The sequence below is a fragment of the Homo sapiens genome, chromosome 20 (genome assembly GCF_000001405.40).
Source record: "Homo sapiens chromosome 20, GRCh38.p14 Primary Assembly".
NCBI classification, from domain to species: domain Eukaryota; kingdom Metazoa; phylum Chordata; class Mammalia; order Primates; family Hominidae; genus Homo; species Homo sapiens.
In genome coordinates, this window is record NC_000020.11 from 37,740,037 (window position 1) to 37,757,319 (window position 17,283).

At 39.4% G+C, this 17,283-nt stretch overlaps 1 protein-coding gene and 1 long non-coding RNA gene across 5 annotated transcripts in view, besides 1 other annotated feature; both read left to right on the forward strand.

Annotated features, from left to right (window-relative positions):
* CTNNBL1 (catenin beta like 1) overlaps window positions 1-17,283 on the forward strand; it is a 178,089-nt gene that overhangs the window by 46,007 nt on the left and 114,799 nt on the right. For 3 of the 4 annotated variants that reach the window (XM_024451947.2, NM_001281495.2, NM_030877.5), the window contains one exon: window positions 6,432-6,571. In XM_024451947.2, the coding sequence (XP_024307715.1) occupies window positions 6,432-6,571 (140 nt within the window). Of the gene's footprint in view, window positions 1-4,584; window positions 4,678-6,431; window positions 6,572-17,283 lie in introns of those variants that run through there. The other variant, XM_011528917.3, reaches the window with a different exon arrangement.
* LOC124904895 (uncharacterized) lies at window positions 7,361-16,350 on the forward strand. Its single transcript, XR_007067575.1, has 2 exons — window positions 7,361-11,094; window positions 11,450-16,350. It is a non-coding gene; the product is annotated as an uncharacterized LOC124904895 (long non-coding RNA).
* Window positions 10,228-10,277: a silencer, noted in NCBI's record as "silent region_12894". NCBI's record gives its function as "represses an Ori minimal core promoter by ATAC-STARR-seq in GM12878 lymphoblastoid cells {active_cell/tissue: GM12878}" and the evidence as "EXISTENCE:reporter gene assay evidence [ECO:0000049][PMID:35858748]".

A 17,283-nucleotide genomic window follows, 5' to 3' on the forward strand; every position in this document is an offset into this window, starting at 1 on the left:
ACATCTTAGGTACCTTAGTGTTACAGTTCATTAACTGGGTTTAAGACAATGTGATTTTATTTAAAAAAATCGGTAGTGTTTTCCATTCAGACAAAATGTATATACTATTTTAGTTTTAAAATCTGAGCATATGAAAATTGAAATTGTGCATAAAGAACTTTTTTTTTTCATGTCGAAAAGCAGTTAGGAAACTACATTGTGTTTTAACCTTGAGTTCTTGAATTCTCACTGGTGCAGTGTCTTTCGTAATTCTCTAGATCAGCGAGGTGAAATTAAGATGAAAATTGCTAGAGTGTATTCGGATGAAACTTTCCGGTTGAGATCAGAAACATTCAAATTTATTTTCCCATATATCCAATTGTCATTTTGATCGCATACCCAAAAATGCCTCTCTTCATTTGACTGCATTTGAGATTCAGTTGACAGTTCTCCTTATGCACCCTCCAATTTGCACTGCCTGATCTTTCTCCTAAACACCACATTGACTAGAGTGTGCTGTTTCCCTAGAAAGTCCTTTAATAGTTCTTCTCTTCATTTTTGCAGGGACAGAATTACTTAGTTTACTGATTTTCAACCTTTTTGGTCTCAGGATCTCCTTGTACTCTTAAATTATTGAATATCCCAAAGTGCTTAGAAAATTCTGGCAAATACAAGAATAGACAAGCACACATTTCATTAGCCATCAGGGCAGTGATGTCATCATGTCATGGAGCCCTTCAGAAAACTCCATTGTACACTCCTGAAAGAATGAGAGTGAAAAAGGCAAATGGTGTCTTAGATTTATTATAAAATAGTTTTGATCTTATAATTCCCTGAAAGGATCTCCAGCCACCCCGCTACCCCATCCTGGGGTCCTAGGACTACACTTTGAGAACTGCTGATTTACTTGGATGGAGGGAGCATCATGTTCCCCCAGCAGTGATTGCATTTAGGACTTACCAATTTCTGTGGCTTTCCCAGTGTTTTTGAACTTTGCTGGTCATTTGCTGATATTCACCCTTGTGGTTGAAGGAGAATATCCTGCTGGTCTGAAGCAAATGCACATGGGCAGCCTAGGAAAATATTCTCTGTCATATTAGATGGAATCGATGACCCCATCTCAGCCTGGGTTACTGTTTTAATATGTTGCTCTATTGCTTTCCCGTCACCTCTAACTTTATCCTTTCCCCCAGCTGTGAGTCATCTATTGCTGAAGGTATGCCTAATTCCTAAAGACAGTTCTCTGCAAATAGTAGTGTGTGCTTTAAATGAGTAGGCTCATGAGTAGGCTGTGCTTGGTCAGGCAAAACAGAAGACGACTGTTATAACAAACTTGAGGGTACATAGATTCATTGAGTACTTGTATGTGCCAGCTATTATTAGGCACTGTATATATATTATCTCTTTTAATCCTCACTATAGGAAGATAAGGAAATCAGGGTCTAGCAATAAGTTAGTTAATATTCTGTGTCTTCCTTGATCAGGTTGGGACACCACGCTCTGTGTTCCAGTGACACTTCTCTTGGTAGTACCAGGCATGCTTATAATTAATGGTTTGTAATAGATTATTTATATTTAATGGAGGCCAGAAACTGGGATTATTTTATCTGTTATATCCTCAGTGCCTAACACAGTGACTGGCACCTAGTATGTGCCTAGTAAATATTTGTCAATTCACTGTTCATGGCCACACCTCTAGTAAATAGCATGGCTGGGAGTATGACCCAGGTCAGTCTCATTCCCAAGTCCAGCATTTCTCACGGTATCTTGTTACTCACATAACACTGGACCCAGTATATTTTTGTAATATTTCCCTGCTTGCAGTTTTATTCTCTGCTTGTTTGTTTTATTTTGATAATTTTCTGACTTCCTAAACTTAAAAGCACTGGGTTAAGACCATATTTGGAAGAAGAATTTCAAAGTTGGAAGGAACTGAGAAGCACAGTCTATTCTACCATCTAACTCTTGGTATTTTTTTTTTTAATGTCATCCTTTATTAACTATCCCAGTGAGAAGGATCTAACTTTCCAAAGAAAGCTATTCCATCATTTGGCAGCTTTGACTCTTAAAATTTCAACTCAGAATGAGAAAGCATTTCAACAAATTCTTATATGAGATGTATCTAGACTCCTTAGAATCTTGGTTGTTTCCCTGAATTGGTTTCCACATCCCTCCTAAAAGATGGTTCCTTGAACAGATGTCACAAAGTTTTAGGGTCATTGAATCAGCATAACTCTGTATTGTCCTCTTTTAAGTACCCTAAAACCACCGTAGCACTTGTGGCAGCTGTTTTCATCTGTGCCCCCATTTACAGGCATCTCCCAAGTTTCTGTGTTGGACCAAGGCCTGCGTCAGGTGCTGGATGTCCAGAGATGAATAAGAAATTGTCTCTGGCAGAACTGGCTCATGTTCTGATTTGTATTACAGTTATGGTTCAATAAAGCCATCAAGTTCAGAAAGAAACACATGTGCCCTTATGAAACTGTATCTCTCCCAGCCTTTACATTTGTACTTGACTTTTTGGTTCATTGCAGTTTTCTGTGTGGATCCCAGGTATTTTTCCTTTGGTTAGATTTGGCACATCATTATTGCCTGTCAGGAACTTTTGAATTGATTCTGTCAGCTGCTGTGCTTACTGTCTCTTTAAGCTTTGTGTCATATAACATTTTTTCATTTTGCCCTTTATCTATCTTTGCTCATGTTATTGATTAAAAAAAAATAATAAAATACTTGATCTAAACAGGCCTAAGGACAGACCCCTCCAGGTGACTAACAATCGTTCAATTACTTTATTTATTTATTTTTTGAGACAGAGTCTCACTGCATTGCCGAGGCTGGAGTGCAGTGGCACGATCTTAGCTCACTGCAACCTCCACCTCCCAGGTTCAAGCAATTCTCCTGCCTCAGCTTCTCGAGTAGCTGGGATTACAAGTGTGCGCCACCACACCTAGTTAATTTTTGTGTTTTTAGTAGAGACGGGGTTTCACTCTGTTGGCCAGGCAGGTCTCAAACTCCCGACCTCAAGTGACCCGCCCACCTTGGCCTCCCAAAGTGCTGGGATTACAGGCATGAGCCACCACGTTCGCTGTCGATCACCCAAATCACCAGATCTTATACTGCACTCAGCACAATTTTTTTTTTTTTTTTTACTGTTTAGTGCCCAGTCTCCCTTGCCAGTTCTTCCAAGTGAACTGGAAAAACCTTTTGTCAGGTTGTTCTCCAGAAATCTTGTATACACTCACTCACATAAGGCAAATAAGCCTTAGAGGTTTGTTGAGGCCTTTGGGTTCAAGGATTATGTAGATCTCCTGGCCCATGGAATATTTGAATCCTTCTGCACCAGCCTTACTGAGTCATGATTCTGATTTAGCTTCCACACTTCAAGTGATCTAAAAAAATAATCTATTTGCAAGCAGAGAAGGAAGCCTTTTAAAAAAAAGGTATTGGGGGAAAATCTTGCTAAAATAGTTATGAAATTTACTTGGAATAATAAGTGAGAACAGGCAAGGAAACACTGAAAAATAAAAACAACAAGGGAGTTGTTTGCAGTAACACACATAAAACATACTATAAAGCTATAACAATGTGGAAGTGTGGTCCTGACTCAGGAATTTACAGACGAATCAATGAAATGGAGTGAAAAACCCAGAAACAGAATAAAGTACACATTAAAATTTAGTGTATGATAGATGACATTTCTTTAAATCTCTGGGGAAAGATAGATTATAGTATTGGAGCACTTGGCCAAACATTTGCAGAAAATAAAGTTAGATTTGTGCCCTATATCAATACATTAAAATAAATTTCAGATAGATTAAATATTTAAATATATAAACATAAAAATACATCATAAAATATATCTTCTTTTAGCACAGAAAATATCTTGCTCAGGATACATGTAAAATAGAGTTCATAAAGGCAAAGATTTTGCTACTTGAACTTTTTAAAACCTTTATGTCAAAAGGAAAAAAAAACCTTTATGTCAAAAAGCACAATGTACAAATTAAAGGGCAAACACTTTTCTCTGATTATTTTTTTTGCAGTGTAGGATAGAGATTAATTTCCTTAATATACGGTGTTTATAAATCTATAAACAAAGTGAGCATCCTAATAAGAATGGGCAAAGAAGAAATACAAACAGTAAACATTAGAAGAATGTTAACCATCTTACTATCAGAAATGCAAAATACAAAATGAGTTGTCTTTTCTATCTCAAATTGGAGGAGATACTGTTTGTGAAGAGGGTAAGGGGAAATAGGCACTTCATGCACTATTGGTACTTTTCTGGCAAAATATATCAAAATCTATTTAAGTCATGTGTACTCTTTGACTTGTCCCTTTCCTTCCTGGGAATTTATCCTAACACAGTAATTAGGAATGCATACATCTTAGTGTCATTTGTTAAAGGGAAAAGAAATGGAAATTATCTGAATGCCTGACAAAGGGGGATTGGTTAATTAAATCACAGTACGTCTACTCAAGGGAATATTGTGTGGCCATTAATCTATGACTTAGAACAGGGATTGTAGATAAGCTTAATCGGCCACACCCAGCCTGTGATTGATTCATAGTCTCTTCTTGGAACACTGTGTTGAGAAGGATTCTGAGGCCAGCCATCTTGGCTCAGCAGGGAAGAGTGCTGTGGTGAGTGAGGGATTTTGCCATGGAGAAGGAGAAGGACCCATAGCAGTTTGTCAGGTATTGGCTTCTCCTATTGTAGTAGAATAATGATAAGGGGAATTATTTAGCCTATATTAACAACAACAGCAAAATGAATATAGAACTATATACTATATAGGCTTACTTTTTGGGGGGAAAGTCTGTGAGTTGAGAAGAATGACTTAAACATACAGGCAAACATACATGGTATTGAAGCGGTTGGTCAAACATTCACAGAAAATAAAGTTAGATCTTTGCCTTATATCATACACTGAAACAGAATTTAAGAGTCTGTGAGTTGAGAAAAAGGCTTAAACATAAAGAGTATTATCAATGGTTATTTTTGGTTAGTAGGCTTATGGATAATTTGTTTACATTTTTGAGGGCTTGCTTTTCTTTCTCCGGTTTTCTACAAAAAGTATACTGTAATTGGGAAAAAATATATAAGCATATACTTAAAAATATTAATGGAGAAAAACAGTAATAGAAATTGTCTAAAATATGGGCATGTTTTAAAGAATTCTAAGTCTCTAGATTTTGTTGCTTACCGACTCCAGATTTTTGGAGAAGCTGTATCTACCCAGCCCCACAGCATCTGGAAGTTGATGAGTCCTGTGTGACTTCAAGAGTCCCTGCTTGTGTTCCTTTTCTTTGTGCCCTCAATTTAATTCAGTAGGCATCTGTGGATATAAGAGACAAAGATACATTTCCTGTCTTTAAGAAGTTTACTTTCTAGAAGAGAAGACAGACATATTACAGTAATAGTAGCAGCAATAGTAATGAGAACAAATACTTACATAGTGCTTTTTATATGGTAGACATTGTTCTCAGTGCTTTATATGTCCTTACTCATTTACTCTTTACAGTGGCCCTGTGAGACAGATAACCTTATTGTCCCTATTTACAGAAGAAACTGAGGCATAGAGAGGCTAAGTAGGTGGCTAAGCCAGGTTCAAACCCAGGTAGTCTGACTCCAGAGTCAGTTTAACCACTGCTTCCTCTCAGTCACTCTCAGTCAGGTATTGTTCAGTTGCCTTACACCAGATTAGCTCATTTCCATCTCAGAACAAACCTTCCTGTCTTGTTCATCCAAGGCTTAATCGGCATTTCTTGTATGTCAAACACCGGGGGAGGGCATGCAGCGTGAATGCAAAGTAGTTCTGTTCTTAGTGCCTGGGCATAGGTTTGTTGAAAGGTTCAGGTATAGAAATGTGAGTAAAGTATCATGCTGTGTAAAGTTGGTGGTGATTGTAGGATGCCAGAGACTAGGTCTGCTTTTCTTTGGTATCTGCCTCTGAATCAGCTCCAAAGAGGAGGAAGAGGGAGGGCATTTTTGGATACAGAAAATCTTATCTTCTTTGGTAAGGGGAATAACTGGCCCTTGATCTGAAGTGGGAAGTAAGAGAAACCCTTTTTGGATGGGTAGTAGGATAACTATGTTCAGGGCAACAGAGTGAATTGCCACACCAAGGGGTAATGGTGGCTAATCTATAGGACTGGTGGAAAGATCGTTTAGTGCTACAAAATGCTTCGGGAGCCTCTGAAAGGCAGCTTGTGACTGCAAGAGTAAGGGAACCCTGTAATGAGATCTGAATCCAAGATTGATTTTTGTAATGAGGAAATCGATTTCCCAAGGAAATTGTGTGACAGTATGATGTTTGGATGAGTGTACTTCTTGGTTGGTCTGTTGTAGACACTTTGACAGATTGCCTTGTTGTCTAGATTGTTGCTGTTTGCTCCTCATTGCTGATAGTGCCCCTTTCCTTCTAATGATGTCTTGTTTTCCCTCCTAGGTTCATGGAATCCGAGCTGGACCTAAATGACATCATTCAGGAGATGCACGTGGTGGCCACCATGCCAGACCTGTACCACCTTCTGGTGGAGCTGAATGCTGTACAGTCGCTTCTCGGCTTGCTCGGACACGATAATACAGATATCCTTTCAGATCTGACCTCAGTAGGAGAGCTGACATGGTGGGGAAGTGCTGTTACTCTTTCTCCTGTCTCTCTTTGTAGATGTGTGCTATAAAATCTGATGTTCTGTTTCCATTCTAATTATCTTCTGTCTTGAAACACACAATGCTTTTTACTCATTTGAAAACCTGGTTTTTCTCTATTAACAAATCTTGCAAATCTTGGGCAATCCTTAAAATTGTCCTATTTGCTCTTATTAGTACTAGAATTCATCGTGATATATCTGTTCATACATTAACAGCTTTACTTTTCAGGATCTGGATTGGAAGGCCCCTTATGGGGGCAAAGCCAGACAGATTTGAATGTGTAAATCTAGGCATCTTTCTGCTGACTGATGGTCCAGTGGAGTTGAGACTAGAGATAGTGAACCATGGTAAAAAGCACATTTGGATGTCCAGGAGGACAGGGAAGCTGTTCTGTTTTGTTCATTCCTAGTTCCTAAAAACAAGGCTGAGTGTGGTGGCTTGTGCCTGTAATCCCAAGACTTTGGGAGGCCAAGGTGGTTGGATTACTTAAGGTCAGCAGTTTGAGACCACCCTGGCCAACATAGCGAAACCCTATCTCTAAAAATATAAAAATTAACTGGACGTGGTGGTGCACGCCTGTAGTTCCAGCTACTCGGGAGGCTGAGGCAGGAAAAGCTCTTGAACCTGGGAGGCAGAGGTTGCAGTGAGCCGAGATCATGCCACTGTATGCTACTCTGGGCAACAGAGTGAGTGGGACTCCATCTCAAAAAAAAAAAAAAAAAAAAAAAAAAGACTGAGTACACAGTAAATAGCATTTAATATTTGTTGAGTGCATGTTGGACCTAAACAGACAATCTAGGTTTGACTCTCAACCGCATTTTTGTGTGAAAGACGGTGCCCTTCCACAACTTGTATTCTTTTTTGCACAGATAGAGTTAATAACTTTTGTCTTTCAGTGTTATTTTTATTTTTATTTGTTTTTAGAGACAGGGTCTTGCTTTGTCACCCTGACTGAAGTGCAGTGGCATAATCATAGCTCACTACAGCCTCAAACTCCTAGGCCTAAGTGATCCTACTCCTTAGCCTCCTGAGGAGGGACTACAGGTGCATACCACCATGCCTAGCTAATTTTTTTTTTATTTAATTTTTTGGAGATGGATCTTGCAATGTTGCCCAGGCTGGACTCAATCTCCTGGCCTCAAGTGATTTTGCCTCAGCCTCTGGAGTAGCTTTCCATGTTACTGAGAGGATCAAAGGAGTGTATAAGTGCTGAGCACAGTTCTTGATACATAGTAGGTACTTGGTAAATGTTACTTGTCACTGAATCTGATTCGTGACTTCCAAAACCATTTTATACTTTATCTTGGCTATCAGGTGTGCAGTAGCTTTATTGCAAAGGCTTTTGATGTGCCTGTGGACAGGGTTATGTTCATTAAACCAAATTCTCTTCTAGTAGTTGTTCTGTTTGAATCCAGATTTCCAAAGGTAAGAGACAAATGTAGTTAGTCTGCTTGAGTGATATTCACAGGGAATCTGCTGTTGCTTCATGTTATTTTCATCTTTCTGGTAATCTCTCTCCTGAGAGCGTGTCTGACTAAGTTCTTGCCTGGCTGATAATTCTCATAGAAATAAATCAGTGAGTAATTTTAATGCAGGCTTCTTGAAGGGCAGTCTTAAGACATTTCTGATGCTTCATGTAATGTTAGATAGCATCAAGAATTGATCTGTTAGCTCCCAGATTTATGACTTTGTTCACCAGGGTTTGCTGTGGGGTTCTGGGTTGTATAAGAACCCTAGTTAGCTTGCTGCTGAGTGAGCTCAGTGTATGGTCTCATGAAATTCATTCAGTAGAGCTGCTGTGAGTGCTCATGATGTACCAGGCACTGTGCTAGGCCCTTAGGAACCATAAGCTGTGCTGGTTGCTCAAGCAGCATCAGTCAGTAAGTATATATTGGGTATTGTCTTGGTCTATTTGGGCTGCTATAACAAAATACCGTAAACTGGGTGGCTTATAAACAACAAAAATTTATTTCTCACAGTTCTGGAGACTGGGAAGTTCAAGACCAAGGCACCAGCAGTTTTGGTGTCTGGTGAGGGTCTGCTTCCAGGTTTGTAGATAGCTGTTTTCTCACTGCGTCCTCACATGGTGGAAGGAGTGAGGGAGCTCGCTGTGTCTCTTTTTAGGACACTAATCCCAAGGGCCCCACCTCCAAGTACCATCACATTGGGGATAGGCTTCAACATATGAATCTGTGGGGGGATATAAACATTCCATCTTTGGCAGGTAACTGCCATATGCCTAGCTCTATTCTGGGCACTAATGGTGTTCACAGACTCAGTGACTACGAGTTCTGGTTGTTACTTCACATTTCAGTTCACCTACAGAAGGGTAGATTTCAGAATCTGATCAGACCTTAGAGAGGACTTAGCTCAGTACCTTGTTTGTTTCTACTTAGTGACAAGTGTGAAGTCCAGATGTTGGACAGCTAACTTGAAGTTAAGACAGGCACTCCAGGTCTGTGATTTTCAGTCCGGTGTTCCTCCAGTGCACCTCAGGTCTTCCTGTGGGATTTACGACATTGCTGACAGAGTCGCATGGTCACCTGTTACCCTGTATATTATTAGTACAGAAATGACTTATTTTCTTTCTGGAAACACCACTCTCATTCTTTTTTCTATTCCTGCTAACTCAAAATAATAGTAGCTGCTTTTGGAAGATACTGACATTTTGCTGATTCACCAGCCTGGCTCCTGCCGGGGAGAAGACTGACACAAAAAACGCTGCTCGACATCGGCATATTTGGGAAAGGCAAGGGCACAGATGTTCCAAGTTGTTAAGTTCTGGTCTTTAAAAAGGGAAAAAACACATCCCCCTATAATAACTTTGACAGATTGCCATTTCCCTCCTGTTTTCTGAGAGCTAAACTGTTTTTTTTTTCCTCTTGTATGCCAACCTGCACCCAACTGCCCTAATGATATTTTTTAAAATCTGATGTTTAATTATGTCTTACATCAAATTTAAAGTGCATTTGAAATTTTTTAAATTACCTTAATTTTAATTAGAGGCAGCAAATAGGGGTAAATGTCATCCTCCTCAAAGTACGATTTTTCTTGAAAGTGATTTCAGGAAAGGGCAGGTCCTCTTGACTTGCATCTACCATATCCTCTGTTGGTCGTAATGTTGCTCTCCCTGCAACATTGCACTCTGCTGCTTGTCTTATCTGTGATCTATAATAGAAATTTTTCTTCAGGAAACGGTTGTTAACAATTTACTGTTGTACAGCTGTAACTGCCCAAAACACCTTAGCATGAATAAACAATTTCATGGCAGTCATGACTTAAATTTTTAATCTTTTTTAACTCTTCATTTATCAACCAAGACCATATATGGCTGGTTATGTTCCCAGCAAGCACAGGTCATCTTTGCTTCATCCTCCTCTGTGAAAACATAAACTGTAGGGATTTTAATTCAATCAGAGCCTGGTTTGTTGTAACCTTAAGAGGCAGAGGATGTGAGAAAACAGCTTGTGCCTCATCCTTTCAACCGTGAGAAGCAGCTTCAGAGTTTATTCTGGCGCTCTGCATCACTGCTGCTGGTGAGGGCTTGTCAGCGCTTCTGTGCCTCATCTGCCCCCTTGAGAGGCTGGAGCCCAGCTATCGGTTGGCTGCAGAATGGATTCTGATCTGTGAAGAGCATATCTTGGGGGTGGGGAGCACACACCTCACATGGTTTTGGAGGGTTACTCTAAATGCAGTCGGAGGCAGCAGAAGGTGGAATCCAGCAGCTGCTGCCTTTTCAAAATAATGCTTTTTAAACACTTTTTCCTTTAAAGTAATTCATTAAACGTGTTTAGAGCTCCTTTCTTGTGAACCTTTTAGAGTGTTTCTATGGAAAAATAAAACCAAAGGTACATTTAAAGATATTTTCTTAAGGTATTGCTAAAAAATCCATTTTTGTGGACTGCTTTAAGCCAGATTTACTCAGTTGGCCCAAAGGAACAAGGAGGAATAAAAGGGAAAAAAACAAACCACAACAACGATCACATGGCACCAAATTGATAAATATTCTGTTTTTGTATGTCTTTTGCCATGTTCTTAATTTGAGTGGTCAGTTGAGTCCCTTCTAAAGTTTTTTTGGTAGATCACTGTTATTTACTGGGTTCTTCCTTTGTATGCTAAGTGTGTTGGATGCTAATAAAAAATAATAACTCCAGTTTAAAGCAAAAACTCTCAAATTACCACCCTCCCCCACCATGGTGTGTGTGGAAAGTGCCTTGGGAACAGTATGCTCAGGAAACACCACTGATTGGAGCCCTGAGAAGGTGTGGGTCATCTCTGGCTTGGGGGTGTGGGGAGTGGAGATGGGTAAGCTTTTGACAGACATGGAGATTAGCATGCATTTCAGGTTTATTTTTGTAGTCTCTCCCTTTGCAGTGGAAATTGCCATTCCTCCTACTCCGGATGGAAGCTGATGTGGTCTTGCTGGCTGCCCATGTAGTCACTACAAATTTATCAAGGTATCGGGTCCATGGCTTAATTAAAAAAAAAAATCATGACTACTGCTTCCCAGCTAAATGCCTTTATTCTTTAATAATAATAATAATAATAATCCAGTAATCTAAACCCAATTTATTCAAAGTCAGCTTTCTCTCCACCCCTTTGTGAGACAGAAAAATGAGGTCTCATTGTGATGTTAACTTAAGGCACCAGTACATTGGGTTGCATGCTAATATTTAAGCAGGGAAAAATTTTTAAGTGGCAGAGTAGATCATTGTGCTGATGGGGCAGCTCTTTTTGGTGTGGAATAATTTAGGGAGTGGTCATTAACACTGTTCTTTTCCAAATGACTGTTTAGTTTTCTTCTGATTCTAGAAAACCAGGAGAACTTACAGAGTTGTCAAGTGAGTTTTGTGAAGAATTACTGTGGGAATTCGGAAAATACGGAGGAGACAGGTTTTTTAGACCAACAGGGATCAACTGAACTTGAGTAGTCTGGGTCTGAGAATACTAAAGTGGAACAAACTGACTGAGACTTACCGTGTTATCCCAGAAGGTGCGTACAGTAGTCAAGGGTGCCTTGTGTTACAGACCCAGTGCTAATGAGCAAGAATAGGGCTGGGAAGGATTTGAGCCCCCTAAGGGGCTTTCTTCTAATTGGACTGGGAGGGAGTTGGTATTTGCTCCATTGCTGTCCCGTAAGCACTGTCTAACAAGACTTACATATTTTGAGCTGTTATTTTGCTAGGAGCTATATTTGTCTTGATATTTCCAGAATTAAAATTACATTTAGAAGAATTTACTTCTTTTTCTCATCTGTCATCTGACTTCCTTGATATGTATTGATAAGCCACTTATTTTTTGGAACCAATTAAATGTGCTCTGAAGATAAACATCTTAGGTTAAAAGTGCCAAAATGGCAATGTAGAAGAAGGATCTTTTAATGTAACTTGAAACAAACAGACAAACACACAAAACCTGGTACCACATTAATGTAACTTTTGGTCTTGTTTATGGGTTTTAGGTAAAATCTATGTCCCTGGAAGATTAGGGTGGTTGTAGCCTGCCTTGGACATTTCCCCTGTGGCATGTTACTCCCCACTGGCATTTAAGAAGGACTTAATAAATGTTGAATGAGTACATTTTCTCCTTCATATTAGTTTGATCTAGGATGGGGATAAGAGTCCAGGTTCATTCTAGGTGGCTTTGTGCCAGCTGCTTTAAAAGGAGAAAAAGACCATTTTGTCTGTTTTGAAATTCATCTGCATTAATTGAGCTATATCTAATTACTGTCCTAGTCTAGAAATTAAAGAAAAGATATTTTTTAACTCACATTTATTGCATTAATCAGTTATATTCTCTGAATCTATACTGGTTTATTTGTCTTAAGAAAGCCTTTTTGAAATGACTTTTAAAAAGCCATCTGCTTAATACATCTTATTTCTCTTTTTTTTTTTTAATAACTTTGTTCCTTGTGGAGTCATCTCATTGGAGATTAATGAGATTAATGCTTAATTTCTGTACCAAGACTCTAAGTGGGATATGGCTCCAAAACAAATATCCACAGCCAAAAAATAGAAGTAAACACCACTCTTTTTTTCCAAGAGCCATTGTGTTATGGACCATTTCGTGCCCAGCTGGTCTTTTCTGGTTTACCTATTATTACACTAACTTATTGCCCCAGTAGTGGACAGGTACAGAGGGAGTGCGTGGGTGGCCTTTCTACTCGACATGACAAAATAGGCTATCAAAAACTGTGTTTTAGTAATTCGCAGGGAGACAGGCTCTCTCTTTTCCTATTATACTTGGACAGAAGAGCCTTTTACCTTGTGAAATGAAATTGTAACTACAGAGGAAAAACCTATCACCCATGCCCAGAGTCTGCTTGTGAAGAAATGCTGGAGGGATAGCCAACCATGCTGAATTTTCTCATCAAGATTGAGAGTTTGTCTGTCTTTAGTTTTGATTCTCATTCCTCTTTCTGGTCTTCAAATGACCTCTGTCTCCTGGGTCATATTGTATTACTCAGGAGTTGATGATGACAATTACAGACTTATTACTGCCTTGCTGAAATGCTATTTTGTGAAAGTTGGGAATTTATATAAAATCAGTTAGTGGTAGGATTGATGAGATGTTTACCAGGCCTGGTAGGTAGCTGATTTCTTGTTTGACTTCTCAACTGAGGCAGGAAAGTAGGCAAGGAGATACCACTGAAATATGATAAGAAACAAGTTTTCCTGGAAAAGCCATTTATGCTCTTCTATAAAATCACTTTTGTCTAAAATGTTTCTTATTTTTTAAGTTTCTAGGTTTCATGTGACACATTTGTGAACATGGTATAAGACTAATCAAAGAAAAATGTGATATCTGGCCCACAAGACCTTAGAGGCTGAAAAAGGACTTGATCAATCTGAATCTCTGTGGCATAGCTGAAATATGAAATTAGGTCTTCCAACCCATTGTGACCCGGAAAGGGGGGACCATGCTCTTGTTAGCTTAAACTTCAGATTTTAGAGGCTTTTGGAAAAATGAAGGCAATAGTGAGCGCTTTGGGCATTCTGTGGGAAGACAATCTGTATTATAGTGCTTTCATAGTTCTTGAGTATTTTAACTTCCTTGGCCTTTGACATACCTGATCTCATTTATTCCTTATAGCTACTCAGTGGAAGAGGCTGGGCAGAGACTATTACCCTAGTTTTACAGATGAGGAAATTAAGCTGTAGGGAAATAAAGGAGCTTGCACAAGATTACATGGCTGGTGATAATTTTGGGACCATTCAGGTCACTAAAGATGTGAGGCAAAGATGAATATGACACGACCCCAGTTTTACAGATGAGGAAATTAAGCTGTAAGGAAATAAAGGGGCTTGCACAAGATTACATGGCTGGTGATAATTTTGGGACCATGTGAGGCAAAGATGAATATGACATGACCCTTGTCCTCAAGCTTGCATTGACTCTTCATCTGTTGGTCTTTCAGATATACTCCACTTGTCTTTTTGAGGCTACTGTTTAATAATCATCACATACTAGTTAATAAGTTTATTAACTAGAATTTAATCATGCATGGTGTTATTCAAGAGATGTAATGATAACACTACTTATTGCATTATTGCATGCTGATTTAGATCCTTGTTCTATAGACATCTTATTTATGTATTTATTTATTTGCTTTTTTTTTTTTTTTTTTTTGAGAGACTGGGTCTCACTATGTTGCCCAGGCTGGTTTCAAACTCCTGGACTCAGGCAATCCTCCTGCCTTGGCCTCCCAAAGTGCTGGGATTATAGGTGTAAGCCACCGTGCCCAGCCCAGTTGTCCTGTAGACATCTGACTCCACAGTGGGTGGATGGGTGGATGGATGGATTTAGGTGAATGTTGCTATGCATATTAAATAAGCATTTGAATGGATTATGAACTTTTCAAGAGAATAAATATGGGAGTTTCTTGGAAGAGTGGGGAGGTGTTAACATTTTATTCTTTTCCTTGAGTCTTTTACTAATTTATGGTGGAATTAAATGATAGTTCTTTTCTCTGTGGTTACAACAGGGTCAATAGCTAGAATTAACCTGAATGTAGCCGTGTTTAAACTGAGTGTATATCCCCTTATGCATTAATATGAAGTATAGTTGGCAATAGCATTGTTATTGAAATCAGATGGACCTAACATTCTCCCTTACTATTGCAGTGACCTTTAGATAACTTTTTTTTTTTTTTGAGACAGGGTCTCGCTTTATCACCCAGGCTGGAGTGCAGTGGCACAATCTCAGCTCATTGCAGCCTCCAACTCCTGGGTTCAAACAATTCTCCTGCCTCAGCCTCCTGAGTAGCTGGGATTACAGGCATGTGCCACCACACCTGTCTGATTTTTGTATTTTTAGTAGAGACAGGTTTCACCATATTGGCCAGGCTGGTCTTGAACTCCTGACCTCAAGTAATCCGCCCACCTCGGCCTCCCAAAGTGCTAGAATTATAGGCATGAGCCACCACAGGCCAGAGATCTTAACCACTACTAGCTTTACCTTTCTTATCTGTTAAATAGTGCTTACACCGAATCTTATAATGCTGCTGAAAGAATTCCAGTAGCATAGCACCAGACATGATGCTGTGACTTTTAAAAATGGCGGCTATTATTATGACAACTTTTAATTTTAGAGAGGGAGAACTACTAATTCCTGCTAGTCAAGGGTAGCTCTAGGGTTTCTAGGGGTTAGTTTGCTAACCTGGTTATTTTTGCTGTTTTTTATTATAATTGATTCAAATAATTTGTGTGTTTCGGTTTACTCTGTATCAGGCATATATGTTGACTCTGTCAACAGCTTTCTGATTATTTTTTAGATGAAGATGCTAAGCATGAAGGACTTTTGTCCAAAGACCTTTAAGCTCTTTACTCATATTAAGTTTTGGGTAAATATCACCTTTAAGAGTGAAGGAGTAAGACACAGAAAGCATAGTTAATTATTCGTGATGGTCAGCTGGTCAGTTAGAGATGAGTAAAGCAAACCTTCAAGTAATTTTTCTTTCAGCAAAAGACCTGCATGTAATACCCAGAACATCAGTCATCAGCTAGCAAGTCCTGTCATTCTTGTTCTTATATTCTGCATCTTTTATTTTTTCTTTTAAGTGAAACTGCCCTGATTCTGACCTTTGTTGAATCTTCTGGATTCTGTTGTATGTAGTAGCTTTGGAATAGGTCTTTCTCCTTCAGGCCTGGCTCCCACAACTACCCACACATGCTGTCCACATGGTGGCTCCTGTGTGCCACCCCCGTCCCTCATGCTCACCGTGCTTTAGTGCGTCCTGCACACAGCTTTTAGCTTATTCTTTCCAAATACTATTTTCTTCAGCTAGTTACAATTTTCTCTCCCTTTTCCACTTCCTTCCCCTCTCCTCCAATCCTTTCTTCTCTTCAAATGCCTTTGTACATTCCAGTCTCTCTGCTTTTATTCCTTTGGTTTTGCTTTCTAGTCTCCCTGTCCTCATATTTTTAGTTGCCTGTTTTCTGAGCAGTCTTCTTCTAGCAAGTCATAACTAATTCCCCAGCTCCATCTGATTGCTCCTTTTCAGGACGCCTGCAGTTCATATTGTCTGTGTGTATTCTTCATTTGTTACATGTTGGTTATGTCCTGTGGTGTATGGTTTTTAAAATTGTTTTAGATTATCTATCTTTCTCATTTTACAGATGAGGAAACTGAGGCCCAGAATGAAGAATGGATTGGCCTTTATCATGTTCAGTACTTTAGTCATCATGGGCATTCAATAAATGCAGTTTGCTGGAGCAAGGTGTCTGTTTCTCTCTCTCTCTCTCTCTCTCCCCCGTTGTGTGTGTGTGCACCCGTGTGTGTATGTGTGTGTGTGTGTCTGTGTGTGTGTGTGAGAGAGAGAGAGAGGGAGTTTTAAGGTGAGGGAAAGGAAACTTATAAGTTTAGTTCTGCCACCCAGTTTCCAAATATAACTCTTTCTCTCCTTCATGTTTTCTTTTCTTTATACTTCCCTTTCTTTTCTTTTCTCTCTCTCTCCCTTTCTTTTTTTTTTTTTTTTTTCTTTGAGACAGGGTCTCACTCTGTTTCCCAGGCTGGAGTGCAGTGACACGATCATAGCTCACTGCAGCCTCGATCTCCTGAACTCAAGCAAGCCTCCCACCTTAGCCTCCCAAGTTTCTGGGACTACAGGCATGTGCCACCATGCCTGGCTGATTTTTTTTTTTTCTAAATGTTTAGTAGAGTCAAGGTCTCACTATGTTGCCCAGGCTGGTTTCAAACTCCTGAGCTCAAGCAGTCCTCCTGCCTTGGCCTTCCAAAGTGCTGGGTGTTATTACAGGCATGAGCCACTGTGCCTGGCCCTGTACTTCCCTTTCCTTTTCCTATTTTTGCACAATTTTAAATTCTGTATTCTTCCTTTTATATTCACAGCAGTGTGACATTTGAAGGGACAGAGGTTGGTGGGGACTAGCCCAATTCCATATAAATTTTTCCCTTTGTTTTCAACCAATTATATCATGTCCTGATCTCTGAAGACTCCTTGGTGAACATCAGCCACCTCTTCTCAGAAATTATTACTGCCTTCAAAGGTGAACTGTACAAGGTAGTTAAGATTATACTGAGTTTCAAGAATTTAAATTATGAGATGAGGTTGAGGGTGTTGGCCTATTTCTCACTGGAAGTGACTTCCCAGGCGATCTATTTAAAATTTTGAAATCTGTGAAAATTCA